The sequence below is a fragment of the Homo sapiens genome, chromosome 6 (genome assembly GCF_000001405.40).
Source record: "Homo sapiens chromosome 6, GRCh38.p14 Primary Assembly".
Taxonomy (NCBI): Eukaryota; Metazoa; Chordata; class Mammalia; order Primates; family Hominidae; genus Homo; species Homo sapiens.
Window position 1 is genome coordinate 111,280,145 of NC_000006.12, and position 27,585 is coordinate 111,307,729.

Consider the following 27,585-nt stretch of genomic DNA (forward strand, 5'->3'; position numbering starts at 1 on the left):
GATATCCATCACCTCAAATGTTTATCATTTCTTTGTGTTGGGAACATTTCACATCTTCTCCTGTAGCTATTTTGAAATATACAATAAACTAGTGTTAACTGTAGTCACTCTACTGTGCTATCAAACACTAGAACTTATTCCTTCTGTCTAACTGTATTTTTGTATTTGCTAACCAACCTGCTGCCCTCTGCTCTGTCCCCTACCCTTCCCAGCCTCTGGTAATTATTATTCTACTCACTACCTCCATGAGATTAATTTTTTAGCTCCCACATCTAAGTGAGAACATGGAATATTTGTCTTTCTGTTAAGTGAAATAACTCCCTTAACATAGTGTCCTTCAGTTTCATCCGTGTTGCTGCAGATGATAGGATTTCATTTTATTATGGCTGAATAATATTTCATAGTGTATATACCACACTTTCTTTATCCATTCATCCGTTGAAGAACACTTAGGTTGATTCCATATGTGGTCATTGTGAATTGCTGCAATAAACATGGGAGTGCAGCTGTCTCTCTGATACACCAATCTCCTTTCCTTTGGATATACACCCAGCAGTGGAATTGCTGTATCATATGGTAGTTCTATTTTTAGTTTTTTGAGGAATCTCCATACTGTTTTATGTGGTGGCTGTACTAATTTACATTTCTCCAACAGTGTAGGAGCATTCCACTTTCTCCACATCCTGGCCAGCATCTCTTTATTTTCTGTTCTTTTGATTATAGCCATTCTAATGGGGGTGAGGTGATATCTCGTGGTTTTGATTGCATTTTACCGATGATGAGTGATGTCAGGCATTTTCTTTTTTCTTTTTTTTTTTTTGTTTTTTGTTTTATAATCAGTTTCTGTTTATCCAGAACATTTTTCATTTACATGTTGGCCACTAGTATGTCTTCTTTTGACAAATGTTTATTCAGCCGGCCGTGGTGGCTCGCGCCTGTAATCCAGGCATTTTGGGAGGCTGAGGCGGGTGTATCGCCTAAGGTCAGAGATTTGAGACCAGCCTGGCCAACGTAGTGAAACCCCATCTCTACTAAAAATAAAAAAAATCAGCTGGGTGTGGTGGTGGTCGCCTGTAATCCCAGCTACTAGGGAGGCTGAGGCAGGAGAAGTGCTTGAACCCGGGAGGCAGAGGTTGCAGTGAGCCTAGATCACGCCATTGCACTCCAGCCTGGGTAACAAGAGTGAAACTCCATCTCAAAAAAAAAAAAGATCTATTCAGATCTTTTGCTTACGTAAAAATCAGATTACTTGGTTTGTTGTTGTGTGTTTTTGCTATTGAATTGTTGAATTCCAAATGTATTCTGATTGTTAATCCCTTGTGAGATGGGTATGTTTTTTTTGTTTGCTTTTGTTTGCTTTTGAGACGGGGTCTCAGTGTCACCCAGGTTGGTGTGCAGTGGCACGATTTCAGCTCACTGCAACCTCTGCCTCCCAGGTTCAAGCGATTCTCCTGCCTCAGCTTCCCTAGTGGCTGGGACTATAGACATGTGCCACCACGCCCGGCTAATTTTTGTATTTTTAGTAGAGACGGGGTTTTACCATGTTGGCCAGCCTGGTCTCAAACTCCTGACCTCAAGTGATCTGCCCACCTCGGCCTCCCAAAGTGTTGGGATTACAGGCGTGAGCCATCGTGCCTGGCCAGATGGGTAGTTTGCAAGTATTTTCTCCCATTCTGTGGGTTGTTTCTTTGTTGATTGCTTCCTTTGCTGTGCAGAAGCTTTTTAGCTTGATGTAATTCCATTTATCAATTTTTGCTTTTGTCACCTGTGTTTTTGAGGACTTACCCTCAAAAAGTCTTTGCCCAGACCAATGTCTTGAAGTGTTTACCCATGTTTTCTTCTAGTAGTTTCATAGTTTTAGGTCTTATATTTTAGTATTACATCCATTTTGCCTTGATTTTTGTATAGAGTGAGAGGTGGGGGTCTAGTTTCACTATTCTGCATATAGATCCCCAGTTTTCCCAGCACTGTTTTTTTCGGAGATTGTCCTTTCACCATTGAATATTCCTGGCACCTTTGTTGAAAATGAGTTGGCTGTAAATGTCTAGATTTATTTCTAGGTTCTCTATCCTGTTCCATTGGTCTATGTATCTGTTTTTATGCCAGTTTCAGTCATGTTTAAAAATGAGTTTGGCATCTCTACTTCAGAAATTAGTCAAGAATCTGTCCAGAGTTTAGAATATGAGTGCTCCAAAATTTATGTGATGGTTGTATTGGGTTCCTAAAATAGGAATAGTATTTGTACTTCACATAGACATTTTGAAAATGATATATAAGTTCTCTAGTGATATCTAACATCTTTGGTAAAATCCAGTCTACCAAAGAGCTGTTACTCACTGCATGTCTTAGTAAATGTTTTACTTGAATAATAATTTCCTAATTGAGATGATTATAGATGTTTCTGTTTTAGAGTGGAAAATTGCATGTCAGGCAGAAATTGAGATCCTTCTCCTGACTTCCCTTCCCTGCAGGTCCCAGCAGCTGAAAGCCTGCACTTAGTGGCCACAGCCTTATTTTTATCTTGTTTAAAACAACTGTAGTGATAATCTGGTTAAACAGTTCTAACTTGGAGCATGATTCAGTTGTTTCCCCATGTTCCCATAAAACCTCCCTACCCACCTTTATACTTTCTGAGTCTTGGTGTATGAGAGCCAAGTGAAAGGGGAAACCCCTTATTTACTACCATGAGAACATCACGAGAAAGATCCAACCCCATAATTTCAATTACCTCCCACTGGGTCCCTCCCATGATGTGGGAATTGTGGGAGCTACAATTCAAGATGAAATTTGGGTGGGGACACAGCCAAACCATGTCATTCCACCCCTGAACCCTCCCAAATCTCATGTCCTCACATTTTGAAACCAATCATGGCTTCCCAACAGCCCCCCAAAGTCTTAACTCATTTCAGCATTAACTCAGAAGTCCACAGTCCAAAGTCTCATCTGAGACAAGGCAAGTCTCTTCTGCCTATGAACCTGTAAAATAAAAAGCAAGTTAGTTACTTCCTAGATACCATGGGGGTTCAGGCATTGGGTAAATACAGCCATTCCAATTGGGAGAAATTGGCCAAAACAAAGGGGCAAAAGACCCCATGCAAGTCTGAAATCCAGCAGGGCAGTCAAATCTTAAAGCTCCAAAGTGATCTCCTTTGACTCCATGTCTCACATCCAGGTCACTCTGCTGCAAGAGGTGGGCTCCCATGACCTGGGGCAGCTCCACCTCTGTGACTTTGCAAGGTATAGCCTCCCTCGTGGCTGCTTTCACAGGCTGGCGTTGAGTGTGGCTTTTCCAGGTGCGTGGTGCAAGCTGTCGGTGGATCTACCGTTCTGGGGCTGGAGGATGGTGGCCCTCTTCTCACAGCTCCACTAGGCAGTGCCCCAGTAGGGACTCTGTGTGGGGGCTCCCACCCCACATTTCCCTTCCACACTGCCCTAGCAGAGGTTCTTCATGAGGGCCCCGCCCCCGCAGCAAACTTCCACCTGGGCATCCAGGCATTTCCACATACCCTCTGAAATCTAGGCAGAGGTTCCTAAAGCTCAATTCTGACTTCTGTTTACCCGCAGACTCAATACCATGTGGAAGTTGTCAAGGCTTGGGGTTTTCACCCTCTGAAGCCATGGCTGGAGCTGTACCTTGACCCCTTTTAGCCATGGCTAGAGTGGCTGAGAAGCAGGGCACCAAGTCCCTAGACTGCACACAGCAGGAGGGCCCTGGGCCTGGCCCATGAAACCATTTTTTCTTCCTAGACTTCCAGGCCTGTGTTGAGAGGGGTTGTCGCAAAGGTCTGACATGCCCTGGAGACATTTTCCCCATTGTGTTGGGGATTAACATTTGGCTCCTCGTTACTTATGCAAATGTCTGCAGCCAGCTTGAATTTCTCCTCAGAAAATGTTTTTTTTCTTTTCTCTTGCACCATCAGTCTGCAAATTTTCCAAACTTTTGTGCTGTGTTTCCCATTTAAAACTGAATGCTTTTAACAGCACCCAAGTCATCTCTTGAATGCATTGCTGCTTAGAAATTTCTTCTGTAGCAGGACAAGCTGCAGACAAAACCTCTGAGACACCAAGTTGTAGAAGGAAGGGCTTTATTCAGCTGGGAGCATCGGCAAGCTACTGCCTTAAAATCCGAGCTCCTCGAGTGCACAATTTCTGTCCCTTTTAAGGGCTCATGGCACTGAAGATTTCACATGAAAGGGTCGTGATTGATTTGAGCAAGCAAGGGGTATGTGACAGGGGCTGCATGCACCGGTGGTCAGAGAGAAACAGAACAGGGCAGGGAGTTTCACAATGTTCTTCTATACAATGTCTGGAATCTATGAATAACGTCGGTTTCTAAGTCATGAGTTGATTTTTAACTACTAGGTTTAGGCCAGGCAGGCCCAGGTCCGGTTTTGGGCCTGGCGCTGGGCTGCCTGTCTTTGATTTTATTTCCTTTTTTTTCTTTAAAAACAGGAACTGAGTATAAAACAATATAAAACAATATGAGAGGGCCTCTCTCTTTCCTCATTCCCCCCTTTTGAGACTCTCACTTTTTATTAGTGGGAGTTCTCACTCTTATTTTTGTTACTTATGTCTTTTTGTGCAATAGATTGATAGTGATTCATATAGTACACTTGTGCTGAAGCATTTTGGTGAACTAAGGTAGCGATGAAGCTTCTTATCATTTGAAGAAGTACAGGTAGCAAACAAGGGAGCAGTAAGCAGGGTTTTAGTATTATTATAACTCCTATTTATAAGAGTTTTAAATTTTCCTAGTGCTGGGAACTACCTTTTAAACATAGCTTCAGGGTTGAATCCGTGCTACACTTGCACGGGTACATGTGCCAGTTTTGTTATATCTTTAACTATGTCCTCAACTACTTGCCCCTGATCATCTATGTGTAGACAACAATTAGTAAGGTTAAATTTTCTACAGACTTTTCTTTCAGCTGCTACTAAGTAGTCAAGAGCTAGTCTATTTTGATAGATAGCATTTCTCATCAGAGTTTCTTGCTGGGCAAGAACAGTCAAGGCTTGACCGGTTTTATTAGTAATAATTTCTAAAACAGCTTGCAACCATATGATTCGGTTGAGCATGTAGATGGGGGTTCGAAATCCTCATGAGCCATCTTGTGCCTAAGTGGTGGGTCGGTAGTATTGTATGATTCTTTCAGGGGGCCATTCATTATTTTTCTAATCACCTATGGCTATGCTTCGTTTTTCATGGGAAGCATAGACTGGGAAGCCTAGAAGTTCACCTGTTTTTATGGGCAGTAAGAAGAAAGATGGCTTAATGGTGCCAATTACACAGCTCCCTGTCCACTGATCAGACAGCTTAGAATAAGCTCTGTGTCCACATATCCAGTATAACCTGGTGGGGGCTGTCCAGTCCTGGTGGAATTCTGGGTGGGCCTAAACAGTCTGCAACTTTGGAAATTTACTGAATGGATTTCTTTCTGTGTAATTGGAACTCCACCATGTAACTGTTTTTGTGGTACCATTATACAGCTTTTGCCCAAGACAACTAAGCCGCCCTATAGAATGAGTGAATTGTTTTCCTTCAATAGCTGTGCAATACTGTCTAATAATTGAGACTTTTAGAACCTAAAAATTGTCAGGGTGGTTCTTTTGGGCTGGGAATTCATCAGGAACTGGGTCTGTGGGAACTAATTCTCGGGCTTCCTATGGCCATTGATCTCCTGTTACGGTTCCTCCGCAAACATAACATGAGGTGACTTGTAGAGACTGGGCTACGTGTTCGGCTAATTGCAAAAACAAATTTTTAGTTTTTCCTGGAATCTCAGGTACTGGCACATTTAGTTTATCATAGAAAGTCTGAAATACTGGTTCTGGAGAGCGTCTTTGAACCTCTCCTTTTATTAGGATGCTTATACTAGGATCTAGTCCTTTTCCATCAATGCCTAATGTTACATATCTTTTTTTTATTTTACTTTGGGTCTGAGGGGTTTGTGATTATCAATTCTAAAGGGTTGCAGCTCCTACTCGTGCAGGAGGGGCTGACTTTTCTTTTTTTTGGAGCCAAACAGGATATTTTTTATCTTCTTTCTAAGTAGCCTAAATGACACAAGACTAGTATTGACACATCTCACATAAATATGATTTTTGACAGATGTACTTATTTTCTGCTGTGTAACTTTTTTTTCAATCTAGAGAACCGCATCCTATCCCATGCTGTTTACTATTAATAGCGGCACAGGCGTCAAATTTTAAGGTTACATTTTTGGGGACCTTTCTTTCTTCTGTTCTAGCTATTACCTTACTTGTGTCACCTAGAAAAGGACCAGTCCTTAATTTTATTTTAAAAACTGTGAACATGGGAGGCTTAAAATGGGTCATAATACGCATCAGGTTGGTTATTCCCTGGGCTGCATACCTTGGATAGAATAGCATTATACAAACAAGTTTCTTTTAGAGTCCCGGTACACTTATAATAACCATAAAATAATAGGACTGTAGCAATCTTTTGTCCTACCTCAGTGACTTGATGTATATACTGGAAACAGTTATCAGTCTGAGGAAGGTCAGTGGAAGTCCTTACTGTTCAAGTCCAAATTTTAAGGAAATTGGGTCCCGCGATGAATTTCCTCATGTTTCGGCCGTGCGTGGACCAGTCAGCTTCCAGGTGTGACTGGGGCGGGGCTTGTCGTCTTCTTCAGAGTCACTTTGCAGGGGTTGGCAAAGCTGCTCCTATCTACGTGCAACTCCCAGTCTACTGATGTTTAGGGGTGGTCTCGGTGGTTGGGCCTGCTAGAATAAACTGAGTCCAATACTTCTACACAGTTATGTTTAACTGGGCTCTCTGATACCAGGAGTAAGGTGGCGGGGTTTAGGGTGTTGCAAACTTCAATGGTTATGCGGGGATTTTCACAGAGCAAGCTTTGCTATCTAGTTAGTCTAGCATTCATTAGCTAATGGTGTCCTTTGGTATTTATTAAAATCACCACAGCATGGGGGGACTTTATGTTTAGGTTTTGTCTAAGAGTTAGCTTATCTGCTTTTTGTGCTAACAGGGCCATTGCTACCAGGGCCCTTGGACATGGGGGCCAGCCTTTGGAAACCTCATCTAGTTGTTTTGAGAGATAGGCCTTGGCCAGGGCCCTACAGTCTGGGTTAAAACTCCAACTGCCATTTTTTCTCTTTGACACATAGAGTGCAAAGAGTTTTGTCAGGTCAGGTAGCCTCAGGGCTGGGGCCGACATGAGTTTTTTTTTTTTTAACTCATGAAAAGTTCATTGCTGTTGGGTGTAATAGATGTAGTTTATCTAATCTACATTTTTATTGACTGTCATCTACCAAAATATTGACTTAAATCCTGTAACTATTTGATTTCAAGTTTTAAATTGATCTGGTATTCCTTGCGGGGCTCCAATTGCATCTAAATAGATGTGAGAGTTGAAAGACCTATAAGGGGCTTCTCTTGCTTTACGATGTCTTATTATTATTATTATTATTTTTTCCTTCCTCTGGTTGATGAAATGCCAGGGTGAAAGGGATAGCCAAATGGACTAAAGCACAAGTGCCACTCTAGTTATTCAGCAGAGTGCCTAGTAAAGGTCCACCACAATACTGCCACACATCCACTCAGGGATGAACAAGGACTGACTGATTGATAAGCTCTTGAAAATTCTTAAGCTCACTGCATCCCTTCAGGTCTCCAAGGAATGCTAAGTCTCCTCCCAGCCGTGAGAGACACGAAGTGAACTTAGTGTTGGGAGACGGAAGCTGGATGGCCCTCGGGAGCTGACCCGCAGGGACTTTGGGATATAGCAGAGAGAGCTTGGCATGACTTATTACTCCAGGCTGTAGAATCCTGGAAAAGAGCTACCATGCAGCCCACGCCTGGTCGACTGGAGGACCACCTTAGTGGAAGGGGGACAATCAGGGCCTCTGGGCTGCCATGTGCACAAGCATAACAATTGCTTTTGTTTAACGTGCAGATGGAATATTTGATCCGTTTCAACCAGGCATTTGCATCTTGGTATGCTGTCTTAATTGCTAAAGTTTAAGTCTTTAACTTTTATGATCCTCTAGTAAAATGAATGTTTTCTTTAGCACCAATTTTTATTAGTTTTTAGACTAAAGAAAGCTAAACACCATTTTATATGTAATAATGCTTCTTGTATGATTTTTATACCAGATAGGTTAAATTTTACCTTTATATTAGTGTGTTATTAATGTTAAAATTAATTTTAATAAAACCTTGTAGACATATTTATCCAATTTTTCATGTTTGACCATTAGGTAAGATTTTATAGACTCTTTTTAACCTTTTATAATTTTTGTTAAAGAGCAGGTTGATGCTTTAAGAAAAACCTGTTGCATTTTTACTTTAGTGTCCAGTTCACAGAAAAACTGGGTGATACCTTTTTAACTTTAGCTAATATTTACACACAGAATTTTCTTTACAATTAACATTTTAAAACTTGCTTAAACTTTCAAAACAATAATTTTTTTAACCTTTTAATGTAGGTAAAAATCCACATTCTTATGCCTCTTTATAATCTTTTTACTAAAGGTATATTTTACTTTTTTTATACACCTTGCACATAAACTGTTTTTTCAATGGTACTCAGGAGGCCTTATTACTTTTAAATTATACGACATTTTTTGCATAAAATTTTTTATAACTTTTTTTCATGACTTTCGCAATTTTTTTAACATGTCTCAACTTTTTGACTTATTGCAAACATTTTTTTCTTTAAACAACCAGTTAATTTATTTCAGGACAAGAATTTACCATATAACTTTTTTTTTATATAAATTCTGCCTCTTCCCTTTTTTTTTTCCTTTTTTTAAAGCAAACTTTCTTTATGTCTTTGGACTAGACTGTCTAAGGCCACAAGATTAGAAGTTACCATAATACATGTTACACTGTTAACTTTTAGCAAACTTCACTTTTGTTGAAAACCTTGTAAGTTTGAGATTTCAATTATCCTTTGCTATTAATAAGACCTTGTTTAGTATAAATTAACTTAGAATTGGTATAGATGGCCTTTTTTTCTCTCTGCTGGTCTTTCCTTGCCTCTGCCAGCCACTTATGCTGCTGTTCTCTTAACTACTGTTGCGGGGAAGGGGGTCTAAAACCAGCTATAACTGTCTATGTACGGAAACTGGTCTCGGTGCCTTGGCTTACAGGTTACCTTGTGTCATACCTTTGAAACAAGGGACCTGTCCAGGCTTCCTTCTGATGGCCAACCCACCTCTAATGCTGGCCAGCCTATTTCACACAAAGTTCTAAGTTTTCCTGGTGTCACAGTAACACCATAATCTCCCTTAAATTCTTTCTTGAAATTTTTCAACATAGTTCCTAGTGGGTTGGGCTTATTTGTGCCTGGCCCATGCTTCTTTGAGACAAAACAACACGCTCACACCACACACACACCACAAAACAAAGAACAGTTAAAAAGGGCACACACACACTTTTGCAGTTTACACCAAACCAAAATCAAAACCAAAATCAGAGTTTCCAGAAATCCAAGCCAGGTCAAAACCAAAACCAAAGTATCCAGCAATTCAAGTCAAGTCAAAACTAGAACAAAGGTGCCAATACAGGCACACCGTGGGTGATCAGGCCACGCTTCCACTCAGGTGGAGTGGGGTAAGTTCCAAAGACTAGTCCTACCAAGTCAAGCCAAGTCAAAACCAGAACAAAGGTGCCAATACAGGCACACCGTGGGTGATCAGGCCACGCTTCCACTCAGATGGAGTGGGGCAAGTTCCAAAGACTAGTCTTACCAAGTTTCAGATATCCAGACTCCAAATGCCAGTTCCTTCCTGGTGTTCAGCCACTGTGTTAATCCTCCATGGGGGCCTGCTACGGGCTGCTCTGGTGAGGCGTTCCACTGTGGAAATTTCCTACCCGGGAGCCCTCTTTGGATCGCGGCACTCAGGCTGGCCGGAGTCCCCCGCAGGGATGCTCCACAGGGCAGGCTTAAGCCGCCTAAGGGGCTGCCTCAGCCATCCATCAGTCACCTCGTTTCCCAGTCAGGGAACCAAAAAATGTAGCAGGATGAGCTGCAGACAAAACCTCTCAGACACCAGGTTGTAGAAGGAAGGGCTTTATTCAGCTGGGAGCATCGGCAAGCTACTGCCTTAAAATCCGAGCTCCTCGAGTGCACAATTTCTATCCCTTTTAAGGGCCCACAACACTGAAGATTTCACATGAAAGGGTCATGATTGATTTGAGCAAGCAAGGGGTACGTGACAGGGGCTGCATGCACCGGTGGTCAGAGAGAAACAGAACAGGGCAGGGAGTTTCACAATGTTCTTCTATACAATGTCTGGAATCTATGAATAACATCGGTTTCTAAGTCATGAGTTGATTTTTATCTACTAGGTTTAGGCCAGGCAGGCCCAGGTCCAGTTTTGGGCCTGGCGCTGGGCTGTCTTTGATTTTATTTCCTTGTTTTTTTTTGTTTATTTATTATTTTTTTTAAAACAGGTACTGAATATAAAACAATATGAGAGGGTCTCTCTCTTCCCTCACTTCCACCAGATACCCTAAACTATCTCCCTTAATTCAAAGTTCCACAAATCTCTAGGGCAGGTGCAAAATCCCACTAGTCTCTTTGCTAAAACATAGCAAGAATCACCTTCACTGTAGTTCCCAACAAGTTCCTCATTTCCATCTGAGACCACCTCAGCCTGGATTTCCATATCATTATCAGCATTTTGGTCAAAGCCATTCAACAAGTCTCTAGGAAGTTCCAAACTTTCCCACATATTCCTGTCTTCTGAGCTCTCTAAACTGCTCCACCCTCTCTGCCTGTTATCCAGTTCCAGGTTTTGGGTATCTTTACAGCAGCACCCCACTCTAGTACCAACTCACTGTATTAGTCTGTTTTCACACTGCTGATAAAGACATACCTGAGACTGGGTAATTTGTAAAGAAAAAGAGGTTTAATGGACTCAGTTCCACGTGGCTGGGGAGGCCTCACAATCACGGCGGAAAGGCCCTGTGAAAGGCACATCTTAAGTGGCTGCAGCAAGAGAGAATGAGAGCCAAGCGAAAGGGGAAATCCCTTATAAAGCCATCAGATCTTGTGAGGTTTGCTCACTGCCAGAGAACAGCACAGGAAAGACCTGCCCCCATGATTCAGTTGCCTCCCACTGGGTTCCTTCCACAACACGTGGGAATTGTGGGAGCTTCAATTCAAGATGAAATTTGGGTGGAGACACAGCCAAACCATATCACTTAGGAAAGGATATTTTGTAAGTGGGGAAGTTGAAGCTGAACTTAGTGGAGAGAGACTAAATGACCACACTCTCCTTTGTCTTATCTAAGCAATTATAATAAATGACACTCCAGGTGTCCTTGACTGCTGCCATCTCTGCTTTCAGTGACTTGAGTTTACAGCTTTGCACTCTGCTCTGGCAGAGATCTTCCTCTAGATACTTTGCCTCATGCCAGATATGCTGGGCAAACCTTGACCTTTTCTGGCTCCTAAAACAGCACTCTAGAAGTCTTGCCACTGGGCAGGAGAGGATTGGATTTCAAGCTCCTAAGTATGACTATGTGATATTCAAGTTTTGCCCCCTGTGCTTTCCATGAGGAATTAGGGGCTGACTCTGTCATCCCACTCCTACTTCATCTTCATGGATTTGGTCAGGCATGAGCATAGACTTAGTGGCCAACCTCTGACCACACCACTCACTGCTAGAGGCTCCCTGGGGCGGTAAGGATGGAGTAAGAGACTATGGTTCACAAGGACAGACTTGAGGACTAGCTGGGGCCCCTCTGCTACCTCTCACTGGCTTGGAGAATGGTGTTTTTCTATTTGCTTGTGACAGCAGGCACTTCATTTTCCCTCCTTTGGGAAATTTGAATGGATCTGGTAGAATGAATGAAGAAAGCCCATATGTAGTGTGGGTGGTGGTGGAGAGTGCGGGATCTGGAGTCTGTCTGCCTGGATTTGAATTATGACTCTACCGCCTACTACCTAATCTTATTGCTTAATCTCTCCATGCATCAGCGTTCTTGCATGCAATTGGCTGTCAGATATAAATGAGATATTTGTAAAGCAATTAGCGTATTGCCTTATACATATTATTATGGGCTGAATTTTGACCCCCTCAAATTCATATGTTGAAGCTCTAATCCTATGTATCTCAGAATGTGACTGTATTTGCAGATAGTGTCTTCAAAGAGGCAGTTAAATTAAAAATGAGGTTTTTAGGGTGGGCTCTGATTCAGTAGGACTGGTGTCCTTGATAAGAGGAGGAAATTTGGACCCAGACAGACACAGAAGGAGACCAAAAGTGATGGTACAGGGAGAAGACGGCCATCTACAAGCCAAGGAGAGAGGCCTCAGAAGAAACCAATGCTGCCAACACCTTCATCTTAGACTTCTAGCCTCCAGAACTGTGAGAAAATAGATTTCTTTTGTTTAAGCCACCCAGTCTGTGGTGCTTTGTTATGGGAGCCTTATAAACTAATATACTTACTAAGCAAACAATATTAGCTACTATAACTATTATCATTATTGGCCAGGTGTGGTGGCTCACGTCTGTAATCCTAGCACTTTGGGAGGCCAAGGTGGGTGGATCACCTAAGGTCAGGAGTTCGAGACCAGACTGGCCAACATGGCGAAACCCCGTCTCTACTAAAAATACAAAAAAATTAGCTGGGCGTGGTGGCAGGCATTTGTAATCCCAGCTACCTGGGAGGCTGAGGCAGGAGAATCGCTAGAACTCTGGGGGCAGAGGTTGCAGTGAGCAGAGATTGCACCACTGCACTCCAGCCTGGGCGACAGAGCAAGACCCTGTCTCAAAAAAAAAAAAAAAAAAAGGCCAGGCCTGGTGGCTCAAGCCTGTAATCCCAGCACTTTGGGAGGCCCGAGGCAGGTGGATCATGAGGTCAGGAGATTGAGAGCATCCTGGCTAACACAGTGAAATTTCATCTCTACTAAAAATACAGAAAATTAGCCGGGCGTGGTGGCAGGCGCCTGTAGTCCCAGCTACTCAGGAGGAGAATGGCGTGAACCCAGGAGGTGGAGCTTGCAGTGAGCCGAGATTGTGCCACTGCACTCCAGCCTGGGCGACAGAGCAGAGCAAATCTCCAAAAAAAAAAAAAAAAAAAAAAAAAAAACCCAGCTATTATTATTATTCCCAAGGCACTCAATCAAAGAAAAAATAAAACAACCACAAAAGGAGGAATTTTAATCAGAAACTGATGCTCACAATTTTAGTAAAAGAGACTATCCACAAAAGGGAAATAATAAACATTTTCCATAATTGTTATGGCTGGGAAAACCAGGTGGGACACCCTAACTAAGCTAATGAGGTTATGGGCCATGAAAACACTTAGTTGTCCTGGCAAGTCTGGGAAGATAATGCAGCTGGGAGCTCACCACACTCTGCCTGGGGAACTCTGTTGGGGCTCCATGCAAAGAATGACCTCCAAAAGGACTCTAATCAAGTAGCCTTGATAGCTGCAGTCCAGTAGCAATAGAAACAGACACAAAGTTTTTTCTTTTAATGGGGGGTAATATATTCATTTAGTAATAAAATCAAATAGTACAAAGGTGAATTGAAAAGTGATCTCACTTTTGACCCCCCAGCCTTAACCGCCACCAAGGTAACCACTCCCTTTTGTGCACCTTCCACAGATATCAGTGCATATACAGAAGTGTGCTTATATGTGTGTGTGTGTATAATATACATCTCGTCTGCTTTATTTTAAATTTATTTTAGTTGACAAAATTGTATTTGTTGTGTACAACATGATGTTTTGAAATATGTATTCATTGTGGAAGGTGAAATTGACCTAATTAACATGTGCATTACCTCCGCTTTATTTTTAAATGTAGATTATTGGTAGCAGTACATATAAAAGAAGAGCATATTTTAGGGCAGGCGCAGTAGCTCATGCCTGTAATCCCATCACTTTGGGAGGCCGAGGTGGGTGGATCACCTGAGTTCAAGAGTTCGAGACCAGCCTGGCCACCATGGTGAAACCCTGTCTCTACTAAAATTACAAAAATTAGCCGGGTGTGGTGGTGTGTGCCTGCAATCCCAGCTTCTCGGGAGGCTGAGGCAGGAGAATCACTTGAACCCAGGAGGCGGAGGTTGCAGTGAGCCAACATCGCGTCACTGCACTCTAGCCTGGGTGACAAGAGCAAAATTCCGTCTTGAAAAAATAAAAGCATATTTTAAAAAGAATCTAAGCTTTTATATAGCTACAATCCCTATGCTTCCCTCTAGCCAGTATTTTTGATCTGTCTGAGGTGCTCAGGTACCATTGCTTCTATAGCAAGATCCAGGCACTGTGCTGGTGCTGGGTAATGTTGGGACACAAATCAGGCATGATTTCTGACCTTGTGGTATTTGCAGTCTAATAGAGGGATTGATATTAAATGTTGGTGCAGATAATCAATTGTAATGTGCTGTGAGTCACAGCAGCACACGGTGATGATGGGACTATGGCCCTGACCGTGGCATCTCACACCTTGGGAAAGGGTGAGCAGGTCTCACTTTGCCGTTGAGCATGCCGACTCCACTTCCTCTCCCTGCGCTCAGTGATACCTCATTCTCTCCTCAGTGCCTAGTGTCCCCCAGTTCAGTGCCTCTCTGGTTCTTTTTCTCTATAAAATAAACCTAAAGTGTGTGTGTGTGTTGTTGGGCGGTAGACAGGATGTGGTCACCTAAAAATGTGGAATCAAGGTGGCCTGTGAAGTCTAACTCTTCCTTTTAAACAATCCGTTCCTACCTGGGGCCTTCTGTTCCTAAGCCTTTCTTGAGTTCTCTAGCAATTATCAGTTTTGACCTTCTTTTTTCATTTCTTTTTTGAGATGGAGTCTCACTTTATCCCCCAGGCTGGAGTGCAATGGCGCGATTTCTGCTCACTACAACCTCTGTCTCCTGGGTTCAAACGATTCTCCTGCCTCAGCCTCCTGAGTAGCTAGGATTACAGGCACCCCCGACCATGTCTGGCTAATTTTTTGTCTTTTTCTTTTTCTCTTTTTTTTTTTTTTTGAGACGGAATCTCACTCTGTCACCCAGGCTGGAGTGCAGTGGCACGATCTCAGCTCACTGCAACCTCCACCCCCCAGATTCAAGCGATTCTCCTGCCTCAGCCTCCTGAGTAGCTAGGATTACAGGCACCCCCCACCACGTCTGGCTAAATTTTTATATTTTTCTTTTCTGTTTTTTTTTTTTTTTTTTTGAGATGGAGTCTCGCTCTGTTGCCCAGGCTGGAGTGCAGTGGCGCAATCGGCTCACTGCAAGCTCCGCCTCCTGGGTTCATGCCATTCTCCTGCCTCAGCCTCCCGAGTAGCTGGGACTACAGGTGCCTCCACCACGCCCAGCTAATTTTTTTTTGTATTTTTAGTAGAGACGGGGTTTCACCATGTTAGCCAGGATGGTCTCGGTCTCCTGACCTTGTGATCTGCCCGCCTTGGACTCCCAAAGTGCTGGGATTACAGGCGTGAGCCATAGTTCCTGGCCTGACCTTGTCTTTCTTAACTTTGGGTTCTTCCAATAGGGGAGGAGGCGGCAGCAAAGACATCTTCACATCATCTTGTATCTAATGCCCATTTACTTATGTGTGTCTCCCAAACAGCTATGAAATACACAAGGGCAGGGGATTACCTCGGTATCTCCAGATGAGTGAAATGCCATGCACATCTTGATGGTTAGTAAATATTTATTGAATGGCAAATACTTAAAATCTGTGTAACTTTTTATATTCATATTCATATTTGCAAAGCCTCTGTCGGGTAATCAGGGGGCAGGTGGTATTATCCTGTTTTCAGAGTGTGAATATTTTTAAACTTGGTATCTATGACCAAATGAGTTACTCTTCCAAAGAGTTGCATTGCCATTAGTGATCATGGGGAAGCCTAGAGCATGAAAGCTCCTTACTCTATCACTTTCCCCAAAACTTTCCTGTCCTTCCCTTCAAGACACTTGTGGTGGCATCAGTAGCAAGACAGGTAAAGACTCATAGGCAGTAAGATGTTCTTTTGATTTAAAAAATGGCTTCATCTGCCTTCCTGGTTACACTCTCTTCTCACCAGATATACAAAGAAACCTGATCTTATGAATATGAGAACTCCTCCACAAGATATTTTGCTTTGTAAACCACTCTTGGAGGTTGGCCAAAGTGCCAAAATGCAGCTATTGGGTAGGTTGAGGAAAGTAGACAGAGAAGTAGATTAGGTGGTGCATGTGTTTTGATTTCCTCCTTGGATTTCAAGTATAGACATAATCTGTGACTATTTGCCTGTGCAAAGCTAGTTATTAAGCAGAACTGGGGCATTAATGTTTCTGAATTTTATCCACTATTATACAACTCAAATGGGCTGGGCATGGCGGCTCATGCCTGTAATCCCAGCACTTTGGGAGGCCAAGATGGTGGGTCACCTGACATCAGGAGTTCAAGACCAGCCTGGCCAACATGGAGAAACCCCATCTTTACTGAAAATACAAAAATTAGCCGGGCATGGTGGTGCATGCCTGTAATCCCAGCTACTCAGGTTGCTGAGGCAGGAGAATCGCTTGAGGCAGGAGGCAGAGGTTGCAGTGAGCCGAGATCATGCCACTGCACTCCAGCCTCGGTGACAGAGCAAGACCCTGTCTGAAACAAAACAAAACCTCAAATGGTTAAAGGTAACAATTCTCATCACATCATGGGAAAAGGGCACATGGTATTATGGGATTAAAAATCAGTAGGGTGTGAATGCCAACCATCCTCCCAGAGGTACAGAGTTCACTAATAGAGGTCTGGCATATCCAGCCTAAAAGTAGCTACTTGTGCATTGCCATCTCCCCCAACCTCCACAGCTGATGGCAGAGCCCTAACAATGTCATTTATAGCCAGATTTATTTTTACTTTATAAAATTAAATGTGACTATTTTAAGAAATACTAGTCTACAATAGAGAAGTCAATTTAAAAGCTTATTTGGGCTGGGCGTGGTGGCTCCCAGTAGCCTGTAATCCCAGTACTTTGGGAGCCTGAGGTAGCCAGATCGTTGAGTTCAGGAGTTCGAGACCAGCCTGGCCAACAGGGCGAGACCCCATCTCAACCAAAAATACAAAAATTAGCCAAGCGTGGTGGTGTATGCCTGTAGCCCCAGCTACTTGGGAGGCTGAAGTGAGAGGACTGCTTGAACTCGGGGTGGAGGTTGCAGTGAGCCAAGATCGCCCCACTGCACTCCAGCCTGGGCAACAATGCAAGACCCCTCAAGACAAAACAAGCTTATTTGATGGGCCTTAAGGAATATTCCTGTACTCCAACTGTTATGAAAATAAAAGAGAGTAGATGAAAAGATCGACTACACAGCTACAAGACTTAACTAATGTAAGATCCGGAAAAGATGTTTAGGTGATCAGGGTGGCACACTTGATGGCAGGTAGGGTGCATCATCTGAGACTGAGGGTATAACCCATGACAGTCAGTGGGGTTGAACGGAGTCCACAAGCTCTCTGGGTGGCCTGCTCCATTGGCAAGATGAGGGCCACCTCCTCTAAGAATTCTTCATATCTTTAAAACTGCTCTTCACATTTTTATGTTTTTTCCAAATTTATTGTCCTTCCTCAAAGACACTATGTTGTGTCCATATAGAATTGATTATTACATGATTCATCTAGGGAAAAGCTTGAGTAGAAAGTGAGAAAAATGAGAGAAAACAATGTTAAACAACTTTAACAAATATTAATGTTTCACTTAATTCATTAAACATTAAGGAAATGTTTAATGAAGTTATTTGATGTCTCTGAGCTTCTGGCTCCTTTTCAGGTAAATGAAAACATCCTAAAGAATGAAACTGTTTCTTCAGCCATACTTAAATTTTTTTTTTCTGTGATCTGAGAGACAAAACTTTATTAATAGCCAATCATCTAAAAAGGAGGGAAAATTATGGAACACAGGAAGATCCTTACAAGAAAATTTCTTGGTAAAATAGTTCCAAATTTCAGCACCCTCCCCGATGAGTTAGTGAAACAGCAAATGGACCTCACTAAAAGGCAGTTAAGCTACAGACTCTGAGGACAGTTACAAAGGAGGAGCTTTCCTGCAGAAAACAGAACCAGAGACAGGCTGAGTGTGAGCTAGTTTTAGGCATTCATGTTGAATAACCATTTGTTAATATGGCTGTATCCAATTATAATCAATCAATCAGGTTAAAAATGGTTATTGTGTTGAAAATATTGTGTCAAGTTACTATGATGAGAAAGAGATGATGTGTGTGGAAGTCCTGACAGCACAGAACTTGTAAGTAACAGAATTTCATCAATCTACACATATAAAAGGGGGAAAAAACCCCAATGCTGAGGACTAGCCCCAGCCTCCCAAACAAAAAAAAATCCCCAGAAGTGGAAATTCATTATGTCTTAACAAGACTTGAAATAAATTATGTTCAGACACAGGCTATGTATCTCTTTGGTTCCATATTTACCATGTAATTTTCAGAAAAAGAATCCTCCCAACATTTGCAAGTACATATTCTGGCAATGGAAGACCTATTTCTGTTAAATAACCAGGTGAGTTATTTCTGTTAAAATAATAACTAACTTTTTTCTATTGAAAAAAATAGGCATATAAAAATTGGCATTTAAGTTTTTAAGAAGTAATGTAGTTTTTGCTTTCTCTGTAATTTAATTAATAATTATATCAAAATGAAAATGAACACTGAAGATCTACTAACAAACAAGTACACTCTTAAAACTCTCTAAAAGGATGAGTGCTAAATTAAATTTTCCCATTTTTGCTGCCCTTTTTTTATTTTTTTTTTTGTTTTAACCCTGAAGAAGTTTTGGTAAGGAAATTGCAATATCAAACAGGATATAAAAATATGTTAAATAATTTACTTCATTAAAACTCAGAAAAGGGTAGGGTAAGAAAGATGTAACCAATACAGGCTTATAAAAAAGATGAAGTCACACTGCTATATTATTTTATATTTTATTCAATTTTAATATGGTTTCCATTATTAACTTTTAAAACAAAATGATTTCCAGTTTAAAAAACAATGCACTGACCACATAATTCCTTTTTTATTTTACACAGTTATACAAATATTCTAAATACACATTTTGTGTTCAAGATGATGGCAAATAAGATTAACTGTACAGTACATAAGGAAAGAAAATATTTTAAGTATATTTAGAAGCAATAGAAATGTCTATACAAAACAAGCAAATGGAATAAAATTTTTTATTTTTAAAGTATTGCAACAGGCCCACAGGTTTGTAACAAAAATGTCTTTGCACAGTTCCTCACAATGCCCCATTAATAGCTAAAGCAAGACAGCATTTTTTAAAAAAAAATAATGTTTCAAAATGCTACACGTGGTACTACTGTTTGCACAGTTTGATCAAAATAACGATCTACTTTGAGTCAAGCAAAACCTAGAGGAAATATACCAAACAACTTGAAAATCATTTGTATAAAAATCATTGCACATTATTTTGCTCGTTTGAAAAGTAAAAAAGTGTATTTACAAAATATTTTGCAGTCAAAATTATAAAGTGAATGGATATCTCGAAGTAACACGTCTTGATACAGACAGTTCAAGGAAAACACACAAATGCTTTTTCTTTAAGAGGTTTTCAGTGCTCCTTCCACTGGGAAGTAAACATGATCTACTCAAATGAATTTACAAGATGGTACACATACTGGAGCAAATCCAACACCTGCATTATAAAACAATGTTTAAAAGGTGACAGAATGAGGAATTTGTACATTGTAAGAAGTGAGCTATTCAGAGATCAACAAGTACATTTTAATTCGGTTAGCATAGAAGTCTTCATAGTCTTCAGATAACAGACAGTGAACATCCTTGACTCGATGAAAGTTAAAAAGCACCATGCACAACAGTTTAGTGGTAAGCACTGAAAAAAATAGCACCTGTAATACTGTGATATTGACAATTTAAAACTGGTCTAATAACTGCCGGAGATATGGTGCCTTGGACAATTCTCTATTTACTCGGGAGAGTTTGAAAAGTACTGGGCAGTTCAGAGAAACACATGGGATGTGTCGATCAAAGCAACCTGTACAGTTCTTGCATATCTGAAAGCATAAGAGAAATACAAAAAATAATAGGAAAGTTTTTATGCGTGTATGCAAACAACAAATTTTTATAATCCCTACTTTCTAGACTACCACAGATTACTGGCAGACATACATTACAGAAACTTTCATTAATTTTAATCTCTTGGAAGCCTAGACTACCCTATGTTGAGACATTTCTAAAGGATATTATTTTGTAAAGATAGAGTACAAATTTCCCTAAGGATTCATTTAATTCCTAAGATTAACTTTCATTTACAATGGAATCCTATTAAAATCTACATAAGCTACCCAATTACCAAAGAATGTCTCTTACATGAACTATAAACACGTTTTCAAAGTACTTAGACTATATTCTCATATGCCAATCATAAAAAAGTTACTCTTTTTCGTATTCCAGAAGAGAAAAGCAACCTGCTGAAGCCACAGCAGAAAAACATAAATTGTGAAGATTTCATGGACATTTGTTAGTTCCCCAAATTAATACTTTCATAATTTCTTATGCCTGTCTTTACTGCAATCTCTGAACATGAATTGTGAAGATTTCATGAACATTTATCACTTCCCCAATCAATACTCTTATAATTTCCTATGCCTGTCTTTAATCTTTTAATTCCGTCATCTCCGTAAGCTGAGGATGTATATCGCCTCAGGACCCTGTGGTGATTGCGTTATCTGCACAAATTGTTTGTAAAGCATGTGTGTTTGAACAATATGAAATCTGAGCACCTTGAAAAGAACAGGATAACAGCGATTTGCAGGGAATAAGGGAGATAACCATAAAATCTGACTGCCTGCAGGGCCTGGCAGAACAGAGTCATATTTCTCTTCTTTCAGAAAGCGAATAGGAGAAATATCGCTGAATTCTTTTCTCAGCAAGGAATAACCCCGGGAAAACGAATGCATTCTCAGGGGTAGGTCTCTAAAATGGCCACTCTGGGAGTGTCTGTCTTATGCAGTTGTAGACACGGGATGAAATATGCCCTGGCCTCCTGCAGCACCCCCAGGCTTGCTAGGATTAGGAAATTCCAGCCTGGCGAATTCTAGTCAGACTGGTTGTCTGATCACGAACCCTGTTTCCTGTTAAGATGTTTATCAATGACAATGTGTGCCCAGCACGACATGGACCTTCATCAGTAATTCTAGTTTCACCCTGGCCTTGTGATCTCACTCTGCCTCTTTGCTGTTGTGATATTTTACTGCCTTTGAAGCATGTGACCCACTCCCTATTCGTACACCCCTCCCCTTTTGAAACCCCTAATAAAAACTTGCTGGTTTTGTGGCTCAAGGGGCATCAAGGAACCTGCCAACATGTGATGTCACCCCCAGAGACCCAGCTGTAAAATTTCAAAAAAAAAAAAAATCAAATAATGTGAATTTGAAAGTAGTGGTGCAGACCAGTGGTTCTTAACCCTGGCTAACAATGAGCTTAAAAATAAACAAGTGCCCCATCCCAGACCCATAATGAGTCAGAATCTCCAGGCATGAAAGCCTAAGAATCTGTACTTCTTAAGGCTTCCCAGATGATTTGGATGTATAATAAGATCTGATCTTAAGGAAAATAATAAATCATAAGGCAATTTTTAAAAAGAGAAGCACTATAATGTTTTACACAATGATCAATTTTTAAAAATACTTTAAAGTCTCAAGTTGCATATATAGTTAAAAAAAAGGTTATAAAACATGAAGAACATAAAAAAATTAAAAAGGATGCCAATGAAGACTCCAAAGGTTAAGAAAATGCAGGCCGACTTTCACCTGAATAGTGTAGACAAGTGATTTTAAAAAAGCCATACCAAATGGCAACAACTACTCTGGATTGTCTTTTAAGAGAAATCAAATACGCTCTAGTGAATTCTTTGATCTATATTTATCAAAGGGTTTCAGTTTCAGAGATGGCTCACAGGCCAGTGAAGTTTTGTTCTTTGCCCCAGTTATCTTCCAGTTAACCGAAGGGCACACTTTTTCTAAGTAGACTGGTTACTGTATCCAATATTATGATATTGTCACAAGCAGACTGCTTACAAACATGTGCTTCAGTATGCTCCATGAAGACTGAGTATGCTGTTCTATGATGAAGCCTTTGCTAATTAGATCTCTGCCAAGAGACTCAAATCTATTCCCAAATATAGAATTTCTGTATTACAGCTCTATGAATTGCAGTTACATTCAGGTGCCAGGACAAACTGATAAATATTTAAGCTCTTTCTGTGCTTGTCTGATAAATAAGCCAGGATGGAATTACTTGACTCACTAAATTTAACTCAGTGTTTAGTTTCAAGATCCTTTACTGGTTTAAACCCTGAGCATTATAGCTTGATTCAGGCTTACATTTAAAACTTTAGTGCCCCAACCCGGACATCTACTTTGTAGCACATAGGGAGGCAGGCACTTAAAAAATATCTGCTTTAATCTTTATTCTTTTTACTATCCTTTGGCTTTCTTGTTCAAAAAAAATTTAGTCAAGGCTGGGCACAGTGGCTCATGCCTGTAATCCTAGTACTCTGGGAGGCAGAGGCAGGTGGATCACCTGAGGTCAGGAGTTTGAGACCACCTGGCCAACATGGTGAAACTGTCTCCACTAAAAATACGAAAATTAGCTGGGCGTGGTGGTGCATGCCTGTAATCCCAGCTACTCGGGAGGCTGAGGCAGGAGAATTGCTTGAACCTGGAAGGCAGAGGTTGCAGTGAGCCAAGATTGCACCAACTACACTCCAGCCTGGGCAACAGTGAGACTCCGTCTCAAAAAAAATTTTTCAGTCAGATGCTTGCTTCATTTGCTTTCATTCTTTCATGTTTATGATTAACAGTGTTAAGGTGATGAATTTTTCTCTGAGGTCTGCCATCTAGAATCTGATTTGCAGTGTTTTCATTTTGTTTAACAGAATTTACAAGTGGAAGGATCACTTTTTTTTTTAGTTTGTAATTAATTACCATTTTATAGCATTGTATTACATTCATTTGTAATATTTCTACTTTTTGAAATGTACTGAGGCTTTCTTTTCTTTCTTTTTTTTTTTTTTTTTGAGATGAGAGAGAGCGTCTCATTCTGTTGCCCAGGCTGGAGTGCAGTGGCATGATCTCAGTTCACTGCAACCTCTGCCTCCTAGGTTCAAGTGATTCTCCTGCCTCAGCCTCCTTAGTAGCTGGGATTGCGGGTGCCCGCCACCATGCCTGGCTAATTTTAAATTTTAATTTTTATTATTTTATTTTTAATTTATTATTTTTGAAATGGAGTCTCACTCTGTTGCCCAGGCTGGAGTGCAGTGGCACAATCTCAGCTCACTGTAACCTCTGCCTCCCTGGCTCAAGCGATTGTCCTACCTCAGCCTCCCAAGTAGCTGGGATTATAGGTGCCTGCCACCATACCCTGCTAATTTTTGTATTTTTAGTAGAGATGGGGTTTTGCCATGTTGGCCAGGCTGGTCTCAAACTCCTGCCCTCAAGTGATCCTCCTGCCTCAGCCTCCCAAAGTGCTGGGATTATAGGCGTGAGCCATGATCCCCAGCCGAGGCTTTTTTTTTTTTTTTTTAACAGACTATGACTTTTTTTTTTTTTTTTTTTTTTTTTTTTTTTTTTTTAAGATGGAGTCTTGCTCTGTCACCCAGGCTGGAGTTCAGTGGTGTGATCTCGGCTCACTGCAGCCTCTGCCTCCTGGGTTCAAGTGATTTTCCTGCCTCAGCCTCCTGAGTAGTTGGGAGTACAAGGCTCATGCCACCATGCCTGGCTAATTTTTGTATTTTTTAGTAGAGCTGGGGTTTCTCCATGTTGGCCAAACGTTTCAAACTCCTGACCCCAGGTGATCTACCTGCCTTGGCCTCCCAAAGTGTTGGGATTACAGGCATGAGTCACCACACCTGGCCAGATATTTTTAAAACATTCTAGAAACACTTAAGAAGTATATTTTTTGGTACTGGGTTACAGAGTTTGATATATAATCACAAGGTCTGACTTATAATGTTTACAATTTCCATAATTTCACTTATTTCTGATCACTTGATTGGTCTTGGATTGAGAATGATGTAAAATCTCCTGTTTGGATGTGTTTCTAATTCTCATTACATCTCTAGTAATTTCTGCTTCATTAAAAATTTCTACAAATTAGTGCATGGGAGACATTTAAAACATTCTAGAAACACTTAAGAAGTACATTTTTTGGTACTGGGTTACAGAGTTTGATATATAATCACAAGGTCTGACTTATAATGTTTACAATTTCCATAATTTCACTTATTTCTGATCACTTGATTGGTCTTGGATTGAGAATGATGTAAAATCTCCTGTTTGGATGTGTTTCTAATTCTCATTACATCTCTAGTAATTTCTGCTTCATTAAAAATTTCTACAAATTAGTGTATGGGAGACATTCATTTGAACGTTCTTGAAAAACACCTCAAATTAAAATAGCTCTTGAAAGATGACAAACCATCATTATTTATAAATAGCATCGCTTTTTCTTTTTTTTTTTTTTTTCGATCCAAGGGTATACATGTAGGTTTGTTACATGGGTATACTGTATGATGTTGAGGTTTGAGCTTCTAATGATCCTGTTGCCCATGCAGTAAATGTAGTATCTGACAGGTGGTTTTTCAACTTTTCCTCTCCTCACCCCCCTTTTGGAATCCCTAGTGTTCATCATTCCCATCTTTATGTCCATGAGTACCCAATGTTCATTATATGTGAGAACATGCAGTATTTGGTTTTCTGTTTCTGCGTTAATTTGCTTAGGATAATAGCCCCAGCTGCATCCATGTTGTTACAAAGGACATGATTTTGTTCTTTGTTCTTTTTTTTTTTTTTTTGAGACAGAGTTTCGCTCTTGTTCCCCAGGCTGGAGTGCAATGCTGCAATCTCAGCTCACTGCAACCTCTGCCTCCCAGGTTCAAGCGATTCTCCTGCCTCAGCCTCCTGAGTAGCTGGGATTACAGGCATGTGCCACCACGCCTGGCTAATTTTGTATTTTTAGTAGAGATGGAATTTCTCCATATTGGTCAGGCTGGTCTCGAACTCCCGACCTCACGTGATCCGCCCGCCTCGGCCTCCGAAAGTGCTGGGATTTGTAGGCATGAGCCACCACGCCCGGCCGATTTTATTCTTTTTTTATGGCTGTGGCATCACTTTCTTTTAAACTGTATTTTTATAAGAAATAAGATGGCCGGGCATCATGGTTCATGCCTGTAATCCCAGCCCTTAGGCAGCTGAAGTGGGAGGATTGCTTGAGTCCAACAGTTTGAGACCAGCCTGGGCAACATAGTGAGACCCGATGTCTAAAAAAAAATAATTAGTAAAACATGGTGGGATATGCCTGTAGTCCCAGCTACATGGGAGGCTGAGCTGAGAGGATCACTTGAGCCCAGGAGGTTGAGGCTGCAATGAGCTGTAATCATGCCACTGCATTTCAGTCTGGGTGACAAAGTGAGACCCTACCTCAAAAATAAAATAAAATAAAAATAAATAAATAAAAAGAAAAAAAGAATGAACACCTAATGTTGAAGGAGGATGGGCTCTGGGTAAATTGATGGCACCAAGTAGTGATGTGTTTGTCATTGAGTGCAGAAAAAACATAAGAAAGTCTAGGAAAGGACCATTTAACAGCCTGACCTTAGCAGAGCCCTGGAGGTCCTGCTCTCATTTAGGCGTCATACTAGGATCCAGCAAGGGAATTTTCTATGAGAGTTGGCTGCTGCCATCAGGACAGAAGTCTATTAAATAAATAGAAGCTGGGAGCACCCAGTGACTTCAGTGGTTGTACTGACTAGAACCACAAAACTGGTAAAAAATGGCTGAAAGTTGGTTGGTAATAACTCCAGTGATATATTCCTTCTTTAATCATGCATTAACCAGGAACTTGTTCATTTATTCAATAAATATTTACAGACCAGCCCCATGGGCTTGGCTATATGCTAGGCATAACTGACTTGACAGTCAAAGAACTGGGCCTCTGTCCTCACTGGTTCATTTGCTATTTAGTGAGGAAGACAGACAAACCCCAAATCACAGTAAAGCAGAGGAGATTATGGCAGGAGCCTACTGCAAGGAAGGCTTCACCCAGTCCAGAGGTTTCAGCTGATTCCTCAGAAGATGGGGGGTGGGGTGGGATAGGTAGAGGAAAGTGTTCCTGGCAGAAGGAGCAGGGTGTTTAAAGGCCAGGAGGAGGCGGCGAGGGGCATTCACAGACCTAAGAGAAGTTCAATATGGTATGGGTCGAGGTAGAGTGTGACAGAGAAGAGCAAGAAATCGTGACAGAGGGATAGCAGGTAGGGACAGAACGGAGATGACTTATCAACAATAAGGAGTAATGATTTTATTGGGGGGTGCGAGGTGGCAAATTTTTCTTTAGATTTCATTCTTCAACTTACTTTGAGATGTTTGTTGTTTATTTCTGCTAGAATTCTCATACTTGAAAAATCATCCTTGCATTTTATGTCTATATCCCAGCTCGGCCACTTAGCAGTGTAACATGCAAATCACTTAAACTCTCTGTATCAGTTTACTCACCTGTAAAGGTGCCTAGAACAGTCTGTGGCACACAGTATGACTCAATCATGCCATTAATCATCTACCTGGACTCACAGAATTATAAACCTTCCAAGTTTACTAGCAAGCAATTCTCTAAGACAACTAGGTATTTTTCTTTAAAGAATGGTAAGCACTAGTAGAGCAATTGAGACTTTTCCTTTCTTCTTTTTAATACTGTAGATTGAGTATCCCTTATTTGAAACGCTTAAGACCAGAAGTGTTTCAGATTTCAAATTTTTTCAGATTTTGGAATAAGTGCATTATACTTACTGGTTGAGTATCATTAATCTGAAAATCTGAACTCTGAAATGCTCTCATGAGCATTCCCTTTGAGAGTCACGTTGGTGCTCAAAAACTTTCAGTTTTGGAGCATTTTGAATTTTGATTTTTCTCAATTAGGGATGCTCAACCTGTATTATAAAAGAAATTGGATGGATGGCCATTCTTGTTGTAGCTATTAAGAAACACAACACACTATTCCATAAAAAAAACAAAAAATAAATTATAAAACAAACCATTATTAATAGTTTATGATATTTTTGAGATTTTTAGGAAGTTTATCATTTAGACTCTTCATTTCACTTTTCACACCAGTTTTGTATCTCACACTATAATTCAAGAGTGACTATATCTTCCTGTAAGATCAGACTGCTTGTGATTCTGGGCCCATGGAACAAAACTGTACCTTTACAAGTTGCTCCTGTTGACGTTCCAACTCCCGGATTTCTTGGTTGAGGATGACTGCAACATGCTGAGGTTGGCTCCGACATTTACTACAGATGCCATGCTGAGTTAGGTCATCACACACAGGACAGTGTAAGGTAGTAAAATATTGTGAAATAGTGCCTTTCCGCCCTTCAGGTTCACTTCGCGAGGAGCTGGTAGCTTTATGGATCTATAAAAACATCCATTCAGAAGTAAGCCTGAGTCAGCTTCACAGCAAAGCTGCTATTTTCATGCTAATTACAGGTTTACTCAGGCATTCATTCATTCGTTCATTCACTCATTCAACAAATGTTGAGTAGCTACTATGTGCCAGGCACTGTTCCAGACA

General features: G+C 41.0%; 1 protein-coding gene and 1 long non-coding RNA gene across 9 annotated transcripts in view, besides 2 other annotated features; one reads left to right on the forward strand and one right to left on the reverse strand.

Annotated features, from left to right (window-relative positions):
* The first annotated feature begins 1,690 nt into the window (after window positions 1–1,690).
* Window positions 1,691–11,327, forward strand: LOC124901376 (uncharacterized). The gene is made up of 2 exons (XR_007059706.1): window positions 1,691–9,588; window positions 9,702–11,327. It is a non-coding gene; the product is annotated as an uncharacterized LOC124901376 (long non-coding RNA).
* Window positions 2,924–3,487: an enhancer, noted in NCBI's record as "H3K27ac hESC enhancer chr6:111604271-111604834 (GRCh37/hg19 assembly coordinates)". NCBI's record gives its function as "activates a minimal SCP1, AML or CMV promoter by ChIP-STARR-seq in primed H9 embryonic stem cells {active_cell/tissue: H9 hESC(primed)}" and the evidence as "EXISTENCE:reporter gene assay evidence [ECO:0000049][PMID:30033119]".
* Window positions 3,488–4,049: an enhancer, noted in NCBI's record as "NANOG-H3K27ac hESC enhancer chr6:111604835-111605396 (GRCh37/hg19 assembly coordinates)". NCBI's record gives its function as "activates a minimal SCP1, AML or CMV promoter by ChIP-STARR-seq in naive H9 embryonic stem cells {active_cell/tissue: H9 hESC(naive)}" and the evidence as "EXISTENCE:reporter gene assay evidence [ECO:0000049][PMID:30033119]".
* The window catches only part of REV3L (REV3 like, DNA directed polymerase zeta catalytic subunit), a 184,679-nt gene continuing 175,982 nt past the window's right edge, over window positions 18,889–27,585 (reverse strand). For all 8 annotated transcript variants that reach the window (NM_002912.5, NM_001286432.2, NM_001286431.2 and 5 more), the window contains 2 exons: window positions 27,217–27,426; window positions 18,889–20,012 (listed from right to left, as the gene is read on the reverse strand). In NM_002912.5, the coding sequence (NP_002903.3) occupies window positions 19,872–20,012; window positions 27,217–27,426 (351 nt within the window). In that variant the 3' untranslated portion in view covers window positions 18,889–19,871. The remainder of the gene's footprint in view (window positions 20,013–27,216; window positions 27,427–27,585) is intronic.